This window comes from Homo sapiens, chromosome 7 (assembly GCF_000001405.40).
Source record: "Homo sapiens chromosome 7, GRCh38.p14 Primary Assembly".
Classification (NCBI taxonomy): Eukaryota; Metazoa; Chordata; class Mammalia; order Primates; family Hominidae; genus Homo; species Homo sapiens.
Window position 1 is genome coordinate 22,069,034 of NC_000007.14, and position 17,858 is coordinate 22,086,891.

Here is a 17,858-nt window from a genome sequence, read left to right on the forward strand (position 1 = left end):
ATCATGAGGTCAGGAGATCGAGACCTTCCTGGCTAACACAGTGAAATCCCATCTCTACTAAATATGCAAAAAATTAGGTGGGCAAGGTGGCAGGCGCCTGTAGCTCCAGCTACTCGGGAGGCTGAGGCAGGAGAATGGCGTGAACCCAGGAGGCAGAGCTTGGACGCCGTCTATAAAAAAAAAAAAAGGATCTTTGTCTTTTTATTCCTTGACATGGCCCAAGCCTCTAGACCAGTTGCTGGCACATGGTAGCCATGCAATCAGTGTCTGTTGAGTGAATTACTACCCACTGTCCAAGAGACAGTTCTTCTTCATTATCAGAAAAGAACTTTGTGACCATTAGTTTAGCTGTCTGAATAGATAAGAGGAAGATTGTTCTGATTTCCTCATGCTTAACATTTAGCCATGATTATAATGGCTGAAAACCTTTGAAGCTTTTGAACAGATCCCAGTTCTCTATTTCACTGGGGAGAAATTGCCCAGGACCCATGAATTTGGATGTTCTCCCTTTGAGCAACATTCATAGAAGATGTACTCAAAACAACGCAGACCATATGGGTGATGTTAAGAGCCTTTAGAATCTCACAGACTGAAAATCCATTCTTTTACAACCCAAAGGTGCTGAGATCAGACATTCTAAAAACCAAAGCTTGCTAAACCTTTTAAAAGTAAATAGTTTCTATACTGCATTATTGGGGTTGAAAGGGCAAACTGGGTATGGCAGTTTTTTCTATCTATTCTCAAATGCTTTGACATGACAGTCAGGATGAAGGGTAGCATTCATGTCTTAGACCAAAAAATCACATTGGTTCCAACAAGGTGATTCAGACAGTGTAAGGATGGACTTATATGCTAATTCTACTTCCAGTAACAGCTCATGTCACCTTTAGCAAACTGGGTTATTCTCAAAAAGTTAAAGACCATGCCCTGAAATTGGTCTTTGGGATATAGCTTATAATTAAGAATAAACCAACTTGCAAATGACTCTACCTTAGATATAAAAATAATAACAGTTCTAATCACCAAAATCAGCACAGTTACATAGTTACATTAATGAAATGAACAAGGAAAAATATATTTTCATACATAAATTTATAGATCTCTATAGGAAAAGAGAAGGGATTGATCTATCTAAATATATTTCTATATCTGTCTAGTAAGGCATTTACTAGACAGATACAGAATTATAGATTCCACAGAAGGAATCTATAATACTACTAAAGATAGACTATCAGCTCACCTATCAAAACTGTACTCCACTCTTTTGTGTCTTAACAATGTACTTTCTATCATTTTCAGTTTTATTTATTGGCTACATATTTGAGAGTCTTTCAGTCTATCACAACTCTTCTTTGTGCACCTTACCAAAAGAAACCCAAAGTAAAGAGAGCAAGGCACACTTTAATAGCCTGTTCAGATATGGTCTAATTTAAAAACCAAACATTCTCTTAAAGCCAGAGAAAAACTCTTGACTTAGGTCAGATGACCTCAAATCAAAGCAATAATAGGTTCTCAACAAGCATTTAATTCAAGATAATATAACGGAAATGCCTAGCACAGGGCCGGGAACATAACAGTAACTCAGTGGTAGCCATTGTCACTATTATTTTAAAAAACTAAAGTCTGACATATGGTTTTGCTTTTTTTTTTCATGATTGGGTAAATATATTTCATTAAATCATGGTTCTCAAATCAAGCTGGGCATGAAAATGAGCTGATGTTTAAAATACAGATTCCAGACCTCCCTAAGTCAGTCTCTAGAAACGAAAAACCCTGAATCTTCATTAAAGAAAAAAATCTTCCCAGGTGATTCTGATGTAGATGGCCCATGGACTTGCACAGGGAGCCATTCCATTGCCTTAGGAGATTTTTCATTAAAAACTTGAAATATCAAGAATCTATTATATTTTATCAAAAAGAAAAAAGCATACAATTATGTGTATGTGTAATATATGCTACGTATATATTACATATATTACACATACGTAAAATTGTACACTTTTACACAGAGTATATGTATGTGTATATAGACACATAGTATATATATGTGTCTATCTATGTATCGATCTATCTACCTATCTATCTATAATGTATGTATACACATACAGTTGATCCTTAAACAACAGGGGTTTGAACCATGAGGGTCCACTTATATGTAGATTTTTGTCTGCCTCTCCCATGCCTGAGACAGCAAGACCAATCCCTTCTCTTTTTCTTCCTCTTCCTCAACCTACTCAACAGGAAGATGACAATGAAAACTTTTATGACAATCTACTTAATAAATAGTAATGACATTTTATCTTCCTTGTGATATTCTTAACTTTTTCTCTAGCTTATTTTAAGAATACAATCTACAATATGTATAACATACAAAATATGTGTTGACTGTTTATGATATTGGTAAGGCTTTCAGTCAATAGTAGGCTATTAGCTTTCAGGGAGTCAAAAGTTATACATGGATTTTAAATTGTGTGTAAGTGGGCACCCCTAACCTCTGCATTGTTCAAGGGTCAATTGTGTGTGTGTGTGTATATATATACACACACACGTATGTGTGTATATATATATACACACATGTATGTGTGTGTGTGTGTGTATATATATATACATACATACACATGTATGTATATTTTTAATTTCCAATAACTGCTTCTCAGGGAGTAAGACTTGTCTTTTTTTTTTTTAGACTTGTCTTATAAGCATTACTAAATTGCTATCCGGAACTAAAATGAGTGACAGAAGACAATAAATCTCTTTAAAATTTGAGCAGCAAATCATTCACATACTGGAAAGTTTCATCTCAATACATGTGTCCATTGACATCTGTAATATGAAAACACTGAATATAACTTTTTGAAAATCTGATCTCAAAAGGTGCCTTTGTACTGCAAAAGGGGACTTAGAAAATACTATTGTCTAAAAAACTGGGGAACTTTCAGAAATTTCCCAGGATGGATTCCTGGCATTGAGATGGTCGTTGCGCATCTCATGCCTCTCCTCAGTTCAGCCCTCCCTGCTGTGAACACTGTACTCAGAGCTTGATTGTGTACAAATGTTTAGACCATTTCATTCAAGGGCTGGAGGGAGGCCTGGGGACAAACGAAAATGAAGGAGAGCCATTTCTGTGGCTGGGGAGGCCACTTAAGTCAGTGGGAAGTTAATTGACTTTTGACTGGGGGTGGAGGTATTTGCTATATCCTAGGGAGAGTCATTTTTAATGGTGTTGCAGTCTGATCTGTACCCATATTCTTAGACATGAATAATTTAGAGAGAAAATACTTCTCTTTCATTCTCTTCTTTAATTCACCATTTGCAGGAATATTCTAATAGGAAAGCCTATAAAATTCTGAGACTCGGACTGAGGGAATACTGTAGAGAACAATTCCACGTTATGTGAGCAAGGATAAAAACAATGCCTTTTCCCTCCCTCCCTCCCTGTCTCTGTCTCTCTGTCTTTTCCACAGAAAAAGATGAGCCAGCTGGGCCAAGGCAATGGTAATTGTCAGAATTCAGGGGTCTTATCCATCATGGACTGGATGTATTAAGATGATTATAGCTTTATCATAAGGAACAAATGAACAGAGACTTTCATGTGCCTCAGAGAGGGATGCAATTCTTAGTAAACAATCCACATAGGAAGATAATTGAGCACAACTTTGCAGACAGAGCTCATGATACTCTGGGAGAAGCCCTGAAGAAAGTAATACAGGCTGGGCATGGTGGCTCACACCTATAATCTCAGCACTTTGGGAGGCCGAGGTGGGCAGATCACGAGGTCAGGAGATCGAGACCATCCTGGCTAACAAATGAAACCCCATCTCTACTAAAAATACAAAAAATTAGCCAGGTGTGGTGGCGGGCACCTGTAGTCCCAGCTACTCGGGAGGCTGAGGCAGGAGAATGGCATGAACCCAGGAGGCAGAGCTTGCAGTGAGCTGAGATCATGCCACTGCACTCCAGCCTGGGCGACAGAGCGAGACTCCATCTCAAAAAAAGAAAAAAGAAAAAAAGAAAGTAATACAACATTGGGTCAAACAGTCCTGTTCACCGGTGTCTTCCATATAAGTGCCCACCCAGCATGGTGCCTGTTACATAGGTGCCACACCAAAATTATTTACTGAATGAATAAACAACTAACTTGAGCGATGACAAAGGCATTGTGGGGGAAAAAAAAACTGGAAGGGAAGTGCCCATATGTTAACAGTGATTTATGTCTCTTTTACTTTACTTTTTGTACAGATTTTATGTAACATGTATTACTTTTATAATTCGAAAAGACAAATAAATACAAAAATAAACAAGGTCTCCTTGTTTTCTAATTCCTCAGTTTTCCCTGCCTGAGAGCTTTGTGGTCTGTTTCCCTATTGCTGGCAATTACTTTCTTATTTCATCCCATGAAGGAATGTTCAGCATTATTGACTTTGATGTATTTAACTACCCTTTGAAGTGCATACATTGCTATATCTTCTCCCTTTTAGAGATGGGTATATTGAGGCTCCCAGAGATACAGCAACTTCCTTTGCACTGTTTGCAGGTAGGCAATAGAGGCAGAACTGAAACTGGGTTCAATTTCCTTTCAATATGCCACACTGCCTTCATATGCCCTGCAGGAATTTAAGGAGCTGAAATGCCCCTGCCTATGGCACTGAGATACTCTAAAAGTCACTGGCACTAAGTGAACAGTCTCCAGCAACTGATCCAAGTAAGAATGAGGAAACAGATGCCCTTTTGCTTGGAAGGTTTAAAGTTAAGTAAGCAAGATAGAACAGAAAACTACAATTAGGCTTAATAACAATCTAATAGGAACAAACAAACAAGGAAAATCTGTCCTTAGAGTAGGAAATGACAACACTTCCATAGATTAGTGATGCTCTCCTGTCATTTACTTCATTATAATTATGGAGTAAAAACAAAGAGGGCTGATAGCCAACCCTGCAGGCTGGCTAAGATTATCTGTCCATTCATGTATGTTCATTCATTCCATCACTCACGCATTATCAACACATGCTTATCAATCATGATGCTTGAGTATGAGGCTGGTTGAGATTCAGGCCAAACTTGTGGCAAATCAGAGACCTCCAAAGTTCTTTCAAAGTCTTAAAGGACTTTGCAAATACTAGTACTGACTCTACTTTAACTGAAAGAATCTCATTGATCCAAGGAATTCCACAGCATAGCTCCTGACCTGCTGAAAAGCCTTTGGCAAGAGCAGATATGGCTGCTTCAGCAGGTTCTGGAGATCAAGACCGTAACTCCAGGCATTAGTAATAGAGAACCTTTCATGTGTATAATATGTTCTACTTAAATTTATATAGAAATCTCAAAATCCTCTGTCAACATTATTGACTTTGATGTCTTTACCCTTTGAAGTGCATATGTTGCTATATCTTCCCCCACTTTTACAGATGGGTATAGGGAGGCTCCCAGAGATGGAGTGACTTCCTGACCTTTGCACTGCTTGCAGGTAGGCAATAGAGGCAGACCTAAAAATGGGTTCAATTTCCTTTCAATATGTCACACTGCCTTCATATGCCCTGCAGGAATTTAAAGAGCTGAAATGCCCCTGCCTATGGCACTGAGATACTATAAAAGTCATCGGCACTAGGTTAACAGTCCCCAGCACCTGATCCAACCTGATGTGTACATAGGCAGGTGATTTTCTGTTAGACATCATCATCATCATTAGCTTTCAACAATTACAATTCTTGTCCCTTTAGCCCAGAAAAGCCGATAGAGAAGCTGTTCAGGTAGTTCTGATCCAAATTTCACAGATCCAGGAGGTTTGGTATGGCGGTGGAGTGGCGCCTAATGGCTGACCCTTTTGAGGTTTGCCGACCACCCCAGGTTGTTCAGTGCAGACTTGTCATCTGGCGGCTGCAGCTTTCAAGCAATTACCCGTGGCCACTTAGTGACAGTGTTTAGGAAAGTTAAGTTGGGATTGTTCCCAACTCCTAATTTACCTCTCAATAAAAACTGAAAGTTAAAAAAAAAAACAGCTTGGCTGCAGCATCCAAGTGTTTTTGAAAGACACAGCTGGGGCAGGAGGGTGTGAAGGAAGCCATCTGACCAAGGACTCAGATGAGCTGGGGATGCTGGGAAGGGTGTGGGGACAGCTGCAAGAGCTGTTTTCAGGGGCAAATGAACAGACAGTTTAAAGAGGATGAAATCTGATCATTTCTCCTTATCCAGCAGTTGCTTCTCTTTCACGGATGTTCAGAAGTAGCCCCTGTGGTTTCTGCCCATTTCCAGGGTGTTTTCCTCACTCTCTTTTAATAGCTCATCTCAAATCCTGTGCCATCAACACAGAAATTTAGGAATCTATTTTGTAAGGCCAGGAAATTCTTATTTCTACATGGCTGTTGAGGACACTTTAACAAAAATAATGCCAATTTTATCTTAATTTTTAACCTTGTAGGTTGCCTATTTGTTTTAAAAATTATTTCTAATTCAAAGAACTTTATAAAATCTATAAAACAAGGAAGTGAGAGGAGAAAGCCACCTATGAGGCTGCTACCCGAGCCTTCACTTTTCCTCCCTGACAGTTATTTCAGGTGATTTTTTAAAAAGAAGTTTTCCATTTAAGGGACCGAATATTTCATGCAACTAGGCTTCAACACTATAATAATGATGAAGTGGCTGGCTTCTGGAGGGTGGCCATTGTTTTAAACATGAGTGAAGGATCCCAGAAACCCTCAGCTGACAAATGTTTCGCTTCTCCCCCAACCCCTCCACATTACTGTACATTTTCCCACCTCCTGTGGCTCTATTCCAAGAATTCTTGACATTGAAAATTAGCTCAGCTCCTTATAATTTAGGCAAGACTTAATTTAAACAAATGGTTCAGTTACCATCTGGGAAAGGCCTGGCAGAGTGTTAGAAAACCCTCTAAAATGTTTAGTCTGTTTTACTCTACATTTTCCTAATATTTTGCTTTATATGTCTCCCTCTAGTTAGTAGCTATTATTGGGTCTTCATCTTTCTCCTGGCCCTCTTTCACCTGTTTAGCTTGAGTTTCTGTACTTCTTCCTTCTCTCTAGTTTCTCCTTCTTTTGATCTATTTTTTCTTTCCCATTCTGATTAGCTAGTAGGATGGTGTTGCCTCCTATCTTAGGCTTGCTAAGAAAGGTTCCTGTAGAAGGAGTTGCTTACCTGTTTTTGTCCATCCTGGACAGTGGAATCTTAATACATAGTGGGGGGGTGGGTTTATAAAAGTGATGATTTAGAATGAGAAATGAGATCATAACCAAGGACAATTTTTTTGTTGTTTTTTGAGACAGAGTTTCGCTCTTGTTGCCCAGGTTGGAATGCAATGGTGCAATCTTGACTCACTGCAACCTCCGCCTCCCAGATTCAAGCGATTCTCCTGCCTCAGCCTCCCAAGTAGCTGGGATTACAGGCATGCTCCACCACGTCTGGCTAATTTTGTATTTTTAGTACAGATGGGGTTTCACCACGTTGGTCAGGCTGGTCTCGATCTCCTGACCTCAAGTGATCCACCCACCTCAGCCTCCCAAAGTACTGGGATTACAGGCGTGAGCCACTGCACCTAGTCATAAATTTTTAAAAGTTGACGAATATCACAAATGTCACAACATCCAGAAACATGGCATCACATAATTTGTATATAATTATTAAAATATTAATAAATATATTACTGTATATACAAACATAGTAATTGACCAGCCCAACATTATTTTTGTCTACATTTTGCCCGCACACTTTTTATATGATAATTTCTGTGCTGCCAAATAAAAGCAGCTCAGTATCCTTAATGTCATGTAAAGTTTTCAGATTGACATCAAATTTAGGAAAACCTCTATTAAGTCGTTTTTTTTCTAACGTGAGTTTATGATTTTAGGGAGTGACTAATTTTAAATACTATAAATCGAAAACACTTAAGAATCAGTTTGTCATAGATGTCATTGTTGTGGAGGCTCATTATGAATTTTTTCAAATTTTTATTTCCTGACAAGATAGGACTGCTTTGACCCAGCATCAATGAGCACTAAATCTGCTACTTAAATATTACATTTCTGATGACTGTACACATTTCATGCAGACTAGCTTCTGACTTCGTACATTTTAAACCTTATTTCTCCTTCATTGCTTGCATATTTTGGTTTGGGGCACCTTTGGCTCACACTCCCAGGAGAAGAACCACCGTGGATGTGGACTAAAAACCCTTCCCACACTGGGACAATCAGTATAGCTCAGCCTAAGTTCTTCCTACGTGAAATAATTGGGAACCAAATAAATACAATCTCATAAAACCCAAACAAAATGTATCTGTCATTCAACTTTCCCTTAACTGGATCCCAAAAATGACTTTGGCTACTCCAATGCCACCAGACATAAGAAGTCATTCAAAGGGAAAGTTAAAGCAGAAAAGGCAGTGGTCTTAACTGACTACAGTTAAAATATCTTATTTTTTCAAATTTTACAAAAACGGTTCTTGGAAGAAGCTGTACAAATGCATACCTCTGAACCTTAAGCTTTATTATTTATTTGCTTCAGTATAAATCTACTTCTGCTGTGAAAACATTTAACTTGGGGTTTTTTTTTTAGAAACAGAAAAAAGCTTTAAGAATGGCAGAAATCTTATTTTGTAGAGAGAACTAAATTTTGTTGAGTCCACATATTTGTGTAGGCAAAAATCATAACTTTTATACAGTAGCTGTTTGTACAGATGTGGCTATTGAGTAATAATTCAGGCCCATGGACTATGAGAGGTACGTGAGATGGCGGTGGGGGAGAGGGTGGCTTGTTAGACCAGGGCATTGATGAGGCAGACCTGAGCAGCTGGGAATCAGCCATGGTTCAGACTCCCGGCAATTCCAGCTTTGCTCTGAGCCTCTTTGGAAGCCCTTCCCCAACATCACCCACAATGTTGCGATAACCACCATCTGATCCTTGGCAAACAACTTCCTTCAAAACAAAACAAACAACAACAACAACAAAAAAAACAGCAACTTCTCTTCTCTTCCATCTCACCCCAAAACATCATTCTTTCTTTGTCAAGTTCATTGAACCAGGTGGTAGGAGAAATGAGTTCTTTTTTGTTGTTCAGTGGGTGGAAAGGTATATCAGCCTCAGCTTTGGAGTTCATTTTTATTTGACATGACTTTTGTAATGGGTTCTGATGTGTCTCTGGTGTAGTCACACTAAGAAACCAGTGAAAACACTTCCACAGGTTCAGACACACGGGCTAACTCATGATGAATCCTTACCCAGTGACCCACGACAACAACATGGGGCCGTGGTGGGAAGGAGGGAGATGCACACCCCTTTGCTCAGATGACTGTGTTTCCTCCCTTCAGAAACTGTACTCTTTGCATGTTTTCACCTAGAAAGTAGGAAGAAGAGCCCCAAAAACATACTGACTGAAAGAATAACCTCTTGCTTGGAATTTGAGCTGAAGACATCCATATCTCTATGCCTGGAGCCAAGGCTTCATGGGGAACATTCTTAAATATCTTCCAGGCAACAGTAGCACTGTATTGTGCTATTGAATCACTCAATCTTTTCTTTCTGCTGAAAATAGCTCTGCCCAGGTTATTCTCTGAACTTTATGAGACTGAAATACTGTAGGACAAACCAAAAGAGCTTAGGAGAAGAAATTTTATATTCTTGAGAAGTTCTTCTGGAACTTTGAGATCCCTTTGAATTCCAGTTTTGTAATTTTATGATCTAGAAATCTGCTTCCAGGATGCCTCTGATTTGGAAACACTGAAAATATCTATTAAATTTTGTATGTCTATGAGGGTGAATGGTGTACAGGGAAAATGTTGGTGTTAATTTTTGTGAGTTAATCATGAATAAGTTCCAAATTATTCAAAGTTCTAGTAATTTCTAAATCTAATCCAAATGTAAAATCTTTAACTCTGATACTTCAAGATGGTGAGAGGTGAAGCCAGCTGGACTTCTGGGTCGAATGGGGACTTGGAGAACTTTTCTGTCTTACAAGAGGATTATAAAATGCACCAGTCAGCACTCTGTAGCTAGGATTGTAAAACGCACCAATCAGCACTTTGTAGCTAGCTAGAGGTTTGTAAAATGCACCAATCAGTTCTCTGTAAAAATGGACCAATAAGCAGGATGTGGGCGGGGACAAATAAGGGACTAAAAGCTCGCCACCCCAGCCAGCAGGGGTCCCCTTCCACGCTGTGGAAGCTTTGTTCTTTCGCTCTTCACAATAAATCTTGCTGCTGCTCACTCTTTGGGTCCACATCAGCTTTAAGAGCTGTAACACTCACTGCGAAGGTCCGCAGCTTCATTTTTTAAGTCAGCGAGACCAAGAACCCACTGGAAGGAACCAACTCTGGAAGCAATGGAGCTCAATGTAAATAAGTTACAGTAATAGGACAGCTAAGGTGTATAAGATATCAGTATTTTAAGGAGTGATTTATAATGCAACTGTATTATAAGAGATTAATAAACACACCAAGAAAGGAAAGTTTTCACCTTTTAAGAGGAGAAATTTTATTGCACTATGTGACTTTATACTTACCTTATTGTACTGATGCACAGAAATAGAGATTTGGTTGCCAAATATTTTTAATTCTACTGTAAGTTGAATTTTAAATAATAAAAAGTAAAATTAGTAGCCAGGAACAAAACCTAAAATAGGCAGTGGTCTAGCATATGATTGTGACTCTTCTGTTTAATTCTGTAAAATGAAAAAGAAAACCAAATGCTACCTACAACAAAAACACATTTGGAAAAAAACATCATCCTGCCTCAGCCTCCCAAGTAGCTGGGACTACAGGTGCATGCCACTGCACCCAGCTAATTTGTTTTATTTTTAGGATAGCATCTTGCTATGTTGTCCAGGCTGGTCTCAAAAGTCTGGCCTCAAGTTATTCTCCTGCCTCAGCCTCTGCAGTAGCTGGGTTTATAAGTGCAAGCCACACCTATATTTTAAATCTATGTCATACATGAACAGGCACTTTTCAAAAGACACACACGCAGCCAAAAAGCATATGAGAAAAGCTCAATATTACTGGGCATTAGAGAAATGCAAATCAAAACCACAATAAGACAGCATCTCACCCTAGTCAGAATGGCTATGATTAAAAATAAAAAAATAAAAAACAGAAGCTGGTGAGGTTCCAGAGAAAGGGGAACACTTATACACTGTTGGTGGGAGTGTAAATTAGTTCAACCATTGTGGAAAGCAATATGGTGATTCCTCGAAGAGCTAAAAGCAGAACTACCATTTGACCCAGAAATCCCATTACTGGGTATATACCCAGAGGAATATAAATCGTCCTACCACAAAGACACATGCACAGTGTTCACTGCAGCACCATTCACAATAGCAAACACATGGAATCGACCTAATCGCCCAACAATGACAGACTGGATAAAGAAAATGTGGTACATGTATGCCATGGAATACTATGCAGCCATAAAAAAGAATGAGATCATGTCTTTTGCGGGAATACGGATGGAGTTGGTGGCTACCATCCTTAGCAAACTAATGCAGGAACAGAAAACCAAATACCACATGTTCTCACTTATAAGCGGGAGCTGAAGGATGAGAACTCACGAACTCAAGGCAATAACAGACACTGGGGTCTACTTGAGGGAAGAGGGTGGGAGGAGGAAAAGGAGCAGAAAAAAATACCTGTTGGCTTAAGTTATTAATAACTATGGCTTAATACCAGGGTGATGAGATAACCTGTACAACAAACCCCCGTGACAGCAGTTTACCTATATAACGAACCTTCACATTACTCCCAGACCTAAAATAAATGTTAAAAAATAAATAAAGCTATGTCATAGAGGTAAAGTCAACATGTAGAAGTGAAATGTAGCATTGCCAAGCTTTTTTTCCCACAGCTATTTTCCACTGTAAATTCCCTAATAAAAGAACATCCAAGAATCAGAAACCATAACTCATATATTCATTCCCAGATATTTGCCAAATGCCAACACTGAAGATTTAGCAATTTTCACGGCAAAGTCCCTGCCCTCATGGTCTTTATATGGAAGTTTTGGCAAAGGCTCCAAGACAGTAGAAAATACATCCCAAGTGGGAAGGAGTCGTGGAAAAAGGAGAGGAAAGAAAGCCCACTTGCTTGTGTGCCTCTAAAACCCGGAGTACTGATATTGTCTTTATTTATAATTTTGATATTTTGCTTATAATTTTTTTGCATTAATATGGATTTTTTTTAAAAAAACAACATATTAAAACATAATTTATCCTGATTACTGCCTAATATACGTATCCACAGTATAAAATGGTTCTGAGGTTGAGAGTAGGCAGATTTCTTCAGAAGAAGCTGCAACTGTGCTGTGGCTCCTACCTCCTCTACCTCCCACCAGGGAAAGCCCAGACACTTAAAGAAGCTTCAGTAAGATTACTCTAAGGGCTTACTCTGGATGTCCTGTGCTTAGGGGACACAACACACTGGCCCACAGTGATAAATCCAAGGGATGGGCGACTCGGGGGCTGGTCTGCAAACCCAGCCTGGACAAGATTGCATGAATATTTTCTGTGAACCAGAGTGGGGAGGGAACACAGGAGAGGAAGAATTTTTGTAGGGTCACCTTGGGTCCTGTCTGGGAAGATAGCCAGGAGTAACTGGAGTGGTCTTGGCTGGAGGATGACTACATTTCTAGGGGCTGAGGGAGGTAAGGAAGGACTCAGTTCCCCAAGCCTTTCCCCCTGAGAGTTCACACTCCCCGTGAAAGGACTACACAGGGAAGAGTATGTACTCCCGTGACCCAACACTGGCACTTGCTGCATGTGGCAGATCTTTAGTATTACGTTGATGCAAAAGTATTTGCGATTTGCCCATTACTTTTAAAGGCCAAAACAGCAATTACTTTTGCAGCACCATAATACTTTTTTGTTATCGGAGTTCTTGCAGGTAACCACAACCAGCAAGTGCTAGTGTGGGGTCACCACTGAAGGGCAGAACTTTCCAGCTTTGTCACCAGTGCTCCCACCCTGGGCTGCCTTCTGGAAAAGTCAGAAACCTGGGAAAGCAAGAAGGGAAAGGAGGAGGACAGGGCCAAGGACAGAAGGAGAGGAGAAGCTACCGGGACCCCTTCCCTGTCTAAACCCCACCCCCAAGACTCAAGATCAAGGCGAGGAAGATGTGCCTCAATTTAAAGTCAACACTGAAATTTTGACTATAGGACTTGCCTTTCAATTGCAACACGGTCATTGTTTCGTTATTAGAGGTGATTATTTTCATTTTTTAGAAAACCTAAATGTGACCAAAAAGTCCTTATTAGAGGGAAGAACTTAAAAGGACAATGGGTGACAACATTTTTAGATATTGATGAGTGTTATACATAACAATAATATAAGATGGTGGGAATTGTGGAGAGGGAGCGCTTTTCTTGGGTAGTGTGATCAGAAAAGATTATCCGGAAATGACATTTGAGTGGAGGCCTGAATGAGTGGACAGCAGACGCTGCTGAGATGAGGGGGAGTGAGCTATAGGATCAGGAGTGAGAATGGCCACTTTCTGCCCTTCTCAGAGGTAAAATTACGAATGTAATTTCCTAATTACCCGATGAAACATATTTTGAACTAGAACACAGATGTTTGGGAAAACCTCCAGCAAATTGACTTAATCTGATTGATTTTCTGATTTAGTGTTTTTCTAAGCAAGAACTGCACCCGTTGTGACAGAAGAGGCGCTAAAGCTGCAAATTCCTGGGCCTCGACCCACTAGTTCCTAATCAGAAACTCCAGGGTGGAGACGCAGGATCTGCATCCCTGGGATCACACTGCCTTTCGAGAACCATCCACCTGCCAGCTCCAAGTAGGTCGAGGGAGCAGCGGCACCTGGGATCCCACCGGACCGGGAAGAGTCAAATCCAGGTTTCTCCCTGCTTCACCAAAAGGCCCCCTGCCTCCACCGCAACAGGAACAGTCTCTGTCTGGGAACTGCGGTTGCCTAAGGCTCGGTTTGCTCTTCAGCACTCCGGTCCCCCAACACCGCGTCAGGCGGCGCCCAGCCTCCCGGGGACTCGCAGACGCTCACTCCCCAGACCACAGCGACACCTGCCGAGGCCCCGCGGAACCGCGCTGCACAGCAACCCAGCGCGGCGGGGGGAGTGGCCTGGGGCCATTCTCCGGCCCCCACCCCCCGCCCGTGACCACCGTGCGCTGCCAGAGGGGAGGCTGCGGGAATGGCCAGCGAGGTCTCGCAGGGGGACTGGTTGTCTTTTAGGAAATCAAGGGGCCAGCGCCCCCAGTGCCGGCTGGGAGATGCCTTCAGAGTTCGAAGAGAAAAGATGCGACCTTCAATCCGCTCCATTCTCCGTCAGACAGGCCCTGCGGACGGAGCTCCTGCCACCGCTGCAGCCCCATGATGTGTGCTCCTACGCCCCGCCCCGCTGCAGCCCAGCCCACCCCACCCCCATACGGAAATCCTGCAGGAGAAACTGAAACACTAGCGACAGTGGGACATATCCCCGGGAGCAGTTGCGGGAGGGAGAGAAGGAAGGAGCAAAGGGGAAGAGGAAGAGAGAGAGAGAGCTCAAGGGAGCCTTCTTGGAAAGGTTTAACCCGACAGCTTGAAGGCGGCGGGTAGTAAAGCAGCGAACTGGTGAACGGGCGTCCTGACCCGCCACACTTCCCTCACCGACACCCCTCATCCGCGATACCCCACAGGACAGGATGTCCAGCTGCCCTCACTTATCGTGCCCCTGGGCATTTGAGGGGTTCAGAGAGAGAAACGCAGTAACTTATTACCCTCACATGATATATTTTCACTTTCTTCTCCTGATTGTCAGCTCAATTAGATAAGGGACCTTGTGTTTTATTCCGTTGTACCCCGTGCCTGACACATGGTAGCTGCTGGATAGAGATTTCTTCGATGATTGATTATAAAACACACTAATTTAGAGCTTACTATGTTATAAGATCTCCATCTTCAGTGACTCACTTATTCCTCACAAGAAGCCTAGGAGGTAAGGTTTTCCAATAAGGAGAGCCAGGCACCCCATAATGAACGTGCACGGTGTCACATTCCCAGCAAGTGCCGAAGCTGGGGTCAGATTCAGGCAACCTGGCCCAGTGCCCTCACAGTTCATCCGGCCTCCACATGGCCATTTTGTCCATGAATAAATGAATAAGTGAATGAGTGTATGCTAATTTTGATGAGTTGTCTGGGAAAATGTACAGGTTTTGGGGCTGGAAAAAGGTCTTAGTCATGACGGGGACCCTTTCTGATCGAGTGCTGGGGAAGAACTAGAACTCCTGGGGCCCCCAGGCTCTGCTACCTAAGTGCTGCGGAATCTTGCATATGGTCACCAGCCTCTGGTAGCTTATTACTTTGAGCAGTGCTGGTGGTTCTCAAATTTGTCTACATGTTAGAGTCACCCTGATGAGATTTTCTTTAAACCCAGTGGCTCAGGTCACCCCCTCCCCACACTACCTGAAATTAGAATCTTTCGGGGTTAATCCCAGACATCAGTTCAGCTTCAAATTTCTGAAATTTTCCCGGGTGGTTCCAATGTGCCATCAAAGCTGAGGACCTCATCGGTCTTCAGGGAAGCAGGAAATACATTCTTTCTCAAAGGGTGGCCACTGATCCTCTGAGAATCACTGGGTTTGCTTGTTTACAATGCAGATTCCTGGGCCCTGTTTGGATTTACCAAATCCAAATCTTCTGGAATGGGCCAGAAGATCTGCTCAAATGAACAAACAAAACTTCCCAGGTGATTTTTATGGCCATGAAAGTCCAAGAGCTGCTTGGAAAGCTGCTTTCAAAGTCTGGTGTTGTACCAGCAGCAGGACCTGGAACTTGCTAGAAAGGCAGATGCTCTGGCCCCACCCAGCATCTGCGTTTTAACAGCAATCTGTGTTTAATAAGCCCTGCAGGTGACCTTGGGTGCCAAAATTTGAAAACCAGTAACAGGCCTCTGGAATCATACAGCCCTGGGTTCAAATTCCAGCCTGGTCACTCACTAGCTGTATTAGTCTGTTCCTGCACTGCTATAAGGACATACCCAAGACTGACTAATTTATAAAAGAAAGAGTTTTAATTGTCTCATGGTTCTGCAGGGCTGGGGAGGCCTCATGAAGCTTACAATCAAGGTGGATGGGGAAGCAAACACATCCTTCACATGTGGCATGAAAGAGAAGTGCTGAACAAAGGGGGAAAACCCTTATAAGCGATGGTCCTCATAAAACCACCAGATCTCATGAGAACTCACTTACTATCACAAGAACAGCATGGGAAAAACCACCCCGATGATTCGATTACCTCTCTCTGCATCCCTCCTGCAACACATGGGGATTACGGGAACTACAATTCAAGATGAGATTTGAGTGGGGACAAAGCCAAACCATATCATTCCACCCCTGGCCCCTCCCAAATCACATGTCCTCACATTTTAAAACACAATCATGCCTTTCCAACAGTGCCCCAAAGTCTTAGCTCTTTCCATAATTAATCCAAAAGTCCAAGTTCAAAGTCTCATCTGAGACAAGGTAAGTTTCTTCCTCCTATGAGCCTGTAAAATCAAAAGCAAGTTAGTTACTTCCTAGATACAATGGGAGTACAGGCACTGGGTAATTATACCCATTCCAAATGAGAGAAATTGGCCAAAACAAAGGGGCCAGAGACACCATGCAAATCTGAAATCCAATAGGGCAGTCATTAAACCTTAAAGTTCCAAAATGATCTCCTTTGACTCCATGTCTCACATCCAGGTCACACTGATGCAAGAGGTGGGTTCCCACGGCCTTGGGCAGCTCCACCTGTGTGGTTTTGCAGGGTATTGCCCCCTCTTCCTGGCTGTTTTCACAGACTGGTGCTGAGTATCTGTGGCTTTTCCAGGTACATGGTGCAAGCTGTTGGTGGATCTACCATTCTGGAGTCTGGATGATGGTGGCTGTCTTCTCACAGCTCCACTAGACAGTGCCTTAGTAAGGACTCTGTGTGGAGGCTCTGACCCCACATTTCCCTTCCTCACTGCCCTAGCAGAGGTTCTCCATGAGTGCTCCACCACTGCAGCAAACTTCTGCCTGAACATCCTGGCATTTCCATACATCCTCTGAAATCTAGGCAGAGGTTCCCAAACCTCAATTCTTGACGTCTGTGTACCTGCAGGCTCAACACCACATGGAAGGTGCCAAGGCTTGGGGCTTGCACCCTCTGAAGCCACAGCCTGAGCTGTACTCTGGCCCCTTTTAGCCACAGCTGAAGCGGCTGGGATGTAAGGCACAAAGTCCCTAGGTTGTACACAGCAGGGGTCCCTGGACCCAGCCCAGGAAATGATTTTTCCCTCCTAGGCCTCTGGACCTGTGATGGGAGGGACTGCCATGAAGGTTTTTGACATACCGTGGAGACCTTTCCCCATTGTTTTGGAGATTAAAATTTGGCTCCTCATTACTTATGCAAATTTCAGCAGCAGGCTTGAATTTCTCCCCAGAAAATGGGTTTTTCTCTTCTATTCCATGTTTAGGCTGCAAACTTTCCAAACTTCTATGCTCTGCTTCCTCTTGAATGCTTTGCTGCTTAGAAATTTCTTCCACCAGATACCCTAAATCACCTCTCTCAAGTTTGAAGTTCCACAGATCTCTAGGGCAGGAGCAAAATGCTGCCAGTCACTTTGCTAAAACATAGCAAGAATCACCCTTATTCCAGCTCCCAACAAGTTCCTCATTTTCATCTGAGACCACCTCAGCCTGGACTTTATTGTCTATATCACTATCAGCATTTTGGTCAAAGTCATTCAACAGGTCTCTAGGAAGTTCCAAATTTCCCCACATTTTCCTGTCTTCTTCTGATCCCTCCAAACTGTTTCAACCTCTTCCTGTTACCTAGTTCCAAAGTTGCTTCCACATTTTTGGGTATCCTTATAGGAGCACCCCACTCTCTGTGGTA

General features: G+C 42.1%; 10 annotated features.

Annotated features, from left to right (window-relative positions):
* Window positions 9,010–9,154: an enhancer, noted in NCBI's record as "145 bp 7:22117733 sequence used in MPRA reporter constructs". NCBI's record gives its function as "activates a minimal TATA-containing promoter with rs10240075 allelic activity by MPRAs in C283T melanocytes {active_cell/tissue: C283T}" and the evidence as "EXISTENCE:reporter gene assay evidence [ECO:0000049][PMID:36423637]".
* Window position 9,082: a transcriptional cis regulatory region, noted in NCBI's record as "rs10240075 or 7:22117733 MPRA-significant variant associated with a GWAS melanoma risk locus at 7p15.3". NCBI's record gives its function as "allelic transcriptional activity by MPRAs in C283T melanocytes {active_cell/tissue: C283T}" and the evidence as "EXISTENCE:reporter gene assay evidence [ECO:0000049][PMID:36423637]".
* Window positions 10,033–10,177: an enhancer, noted in NCBI's record as "145 bp 7:22118756 sequence used in MPRA reporter constructs". NCBI's record gives its function as "activates a minimal TATA-containing promoter with rs10228939 allelic activity by MPRAs in C283T melanocytes and UACC903 melanoma cells {active_cell/tissue: C283T | UACC903}" and the evidence as "EXISTENCE:reporter gene assay evidence [ECO:0000049][PMID:36423637]".
* Window position 10,105: a transcriptional cis regulatory region, noted in NCBI's record as "rs10228939 or 7:22118756 MPRA-significant variant associated with a GWAS melanoma risk locus at 7p15.3". NCBI's record gives its function as "allelic transcriptional activity by MPRAs in C283T melanocytes and UACC903 melanoma cells {active_cell/tissue: C283T | UACC903}" and the evidence as "EXISTENCE:reporter gene assay evidence [ECO:0000049][PMID:36423637]".
* Window positions 11,194–11,338: an enhancer, noted in NCBI's record as "145 bp 7:22119917 sequence used in MPRA reporter constructs". NCBI's record gives its function as "activates a minimal TATA-containing promoter with rs7808898 allelic activity by MPRAs in C283T melanocytes {active_cell/tissue: C283T}" and the evidence as "EXISTENCE:reporter gene assay evidence [ECO:0000049][PMID:36423637]".
* Window position 11,266: a transcriptional cis regulatory region, noted in NCBI's record as "rs7808898 or 7:22119917 MPRA-significant variant associated with a GWAS melanoma risk locus at 7p15.3". NCBI's record gives its function as "allelic transcriptional activity by MPRAs in C283T melanocytes {active_cell/tissue: C283T}" and the evidence as "EXISTENCE:reporter gene assay evidence [ECO:0000049][PMID:36423637]".
* Window positions 12,698–12,842: an enhancer, noted in NCBI's record as "145 bp 7:22121421 sequence used in MPRA reporter constructs". NCBI's record gives its function as "activates a minimal TATA-containing promoter with rs7801261 allelic activity by MPRAs in C283T melanocytes {active_cell/tissue: C283T}" and the evidence as "EXISTENCE:reporter gene assay evidence [ECO:0000049][PMID:36423637]".
* Window position 12,770: a transcriptional cis regulatory region, noted in NCBI's record as "rs7801261 or 7:22121421 MPRA-significant variant associated with a GWAS melanoma risk locus at 7p15.3". NCBI's record gives its function as "allelic transcriptional activity by MPRAs in C283T melanocytes {active_cell/tissue: C283T}" and the evidence as "EXISTENCE:reporter gene assay evidence [ECO:0000049][PMID:36423637]".
* Window positions 14,699–14,843: an enhancer, noted in NCBI's record as "145 bp 7:22123422 sequence used in MPRA reporter constructs". NCBI's record gives its function as "activates a minimal TATA-containing promoter with rs3757468 allelic activity by MPRAs in UACC903 melanoma cells {active_cell/tissue: UACC903}" and the evidence as "EXISTENCE:reporter gene assay evidence [ECO:0000049][PMID:36423637]".
* Window position 14,771: a transcriptional cis regulatory region, noted in NCBI's record as "rs3757468 or 7:22123422 MPRA-significant variant associated with a GWAS melanoma risk locus at 7p15.3". NCBI's record gives its function as "allelic transcriptional activity by MPRAs in UACC903 melanoma cells {active_cell/tissue: UACC903}" and the evidence as "EXISTENCE:reporter gene assay evidence [ECO:0000049][PMID:36423637]".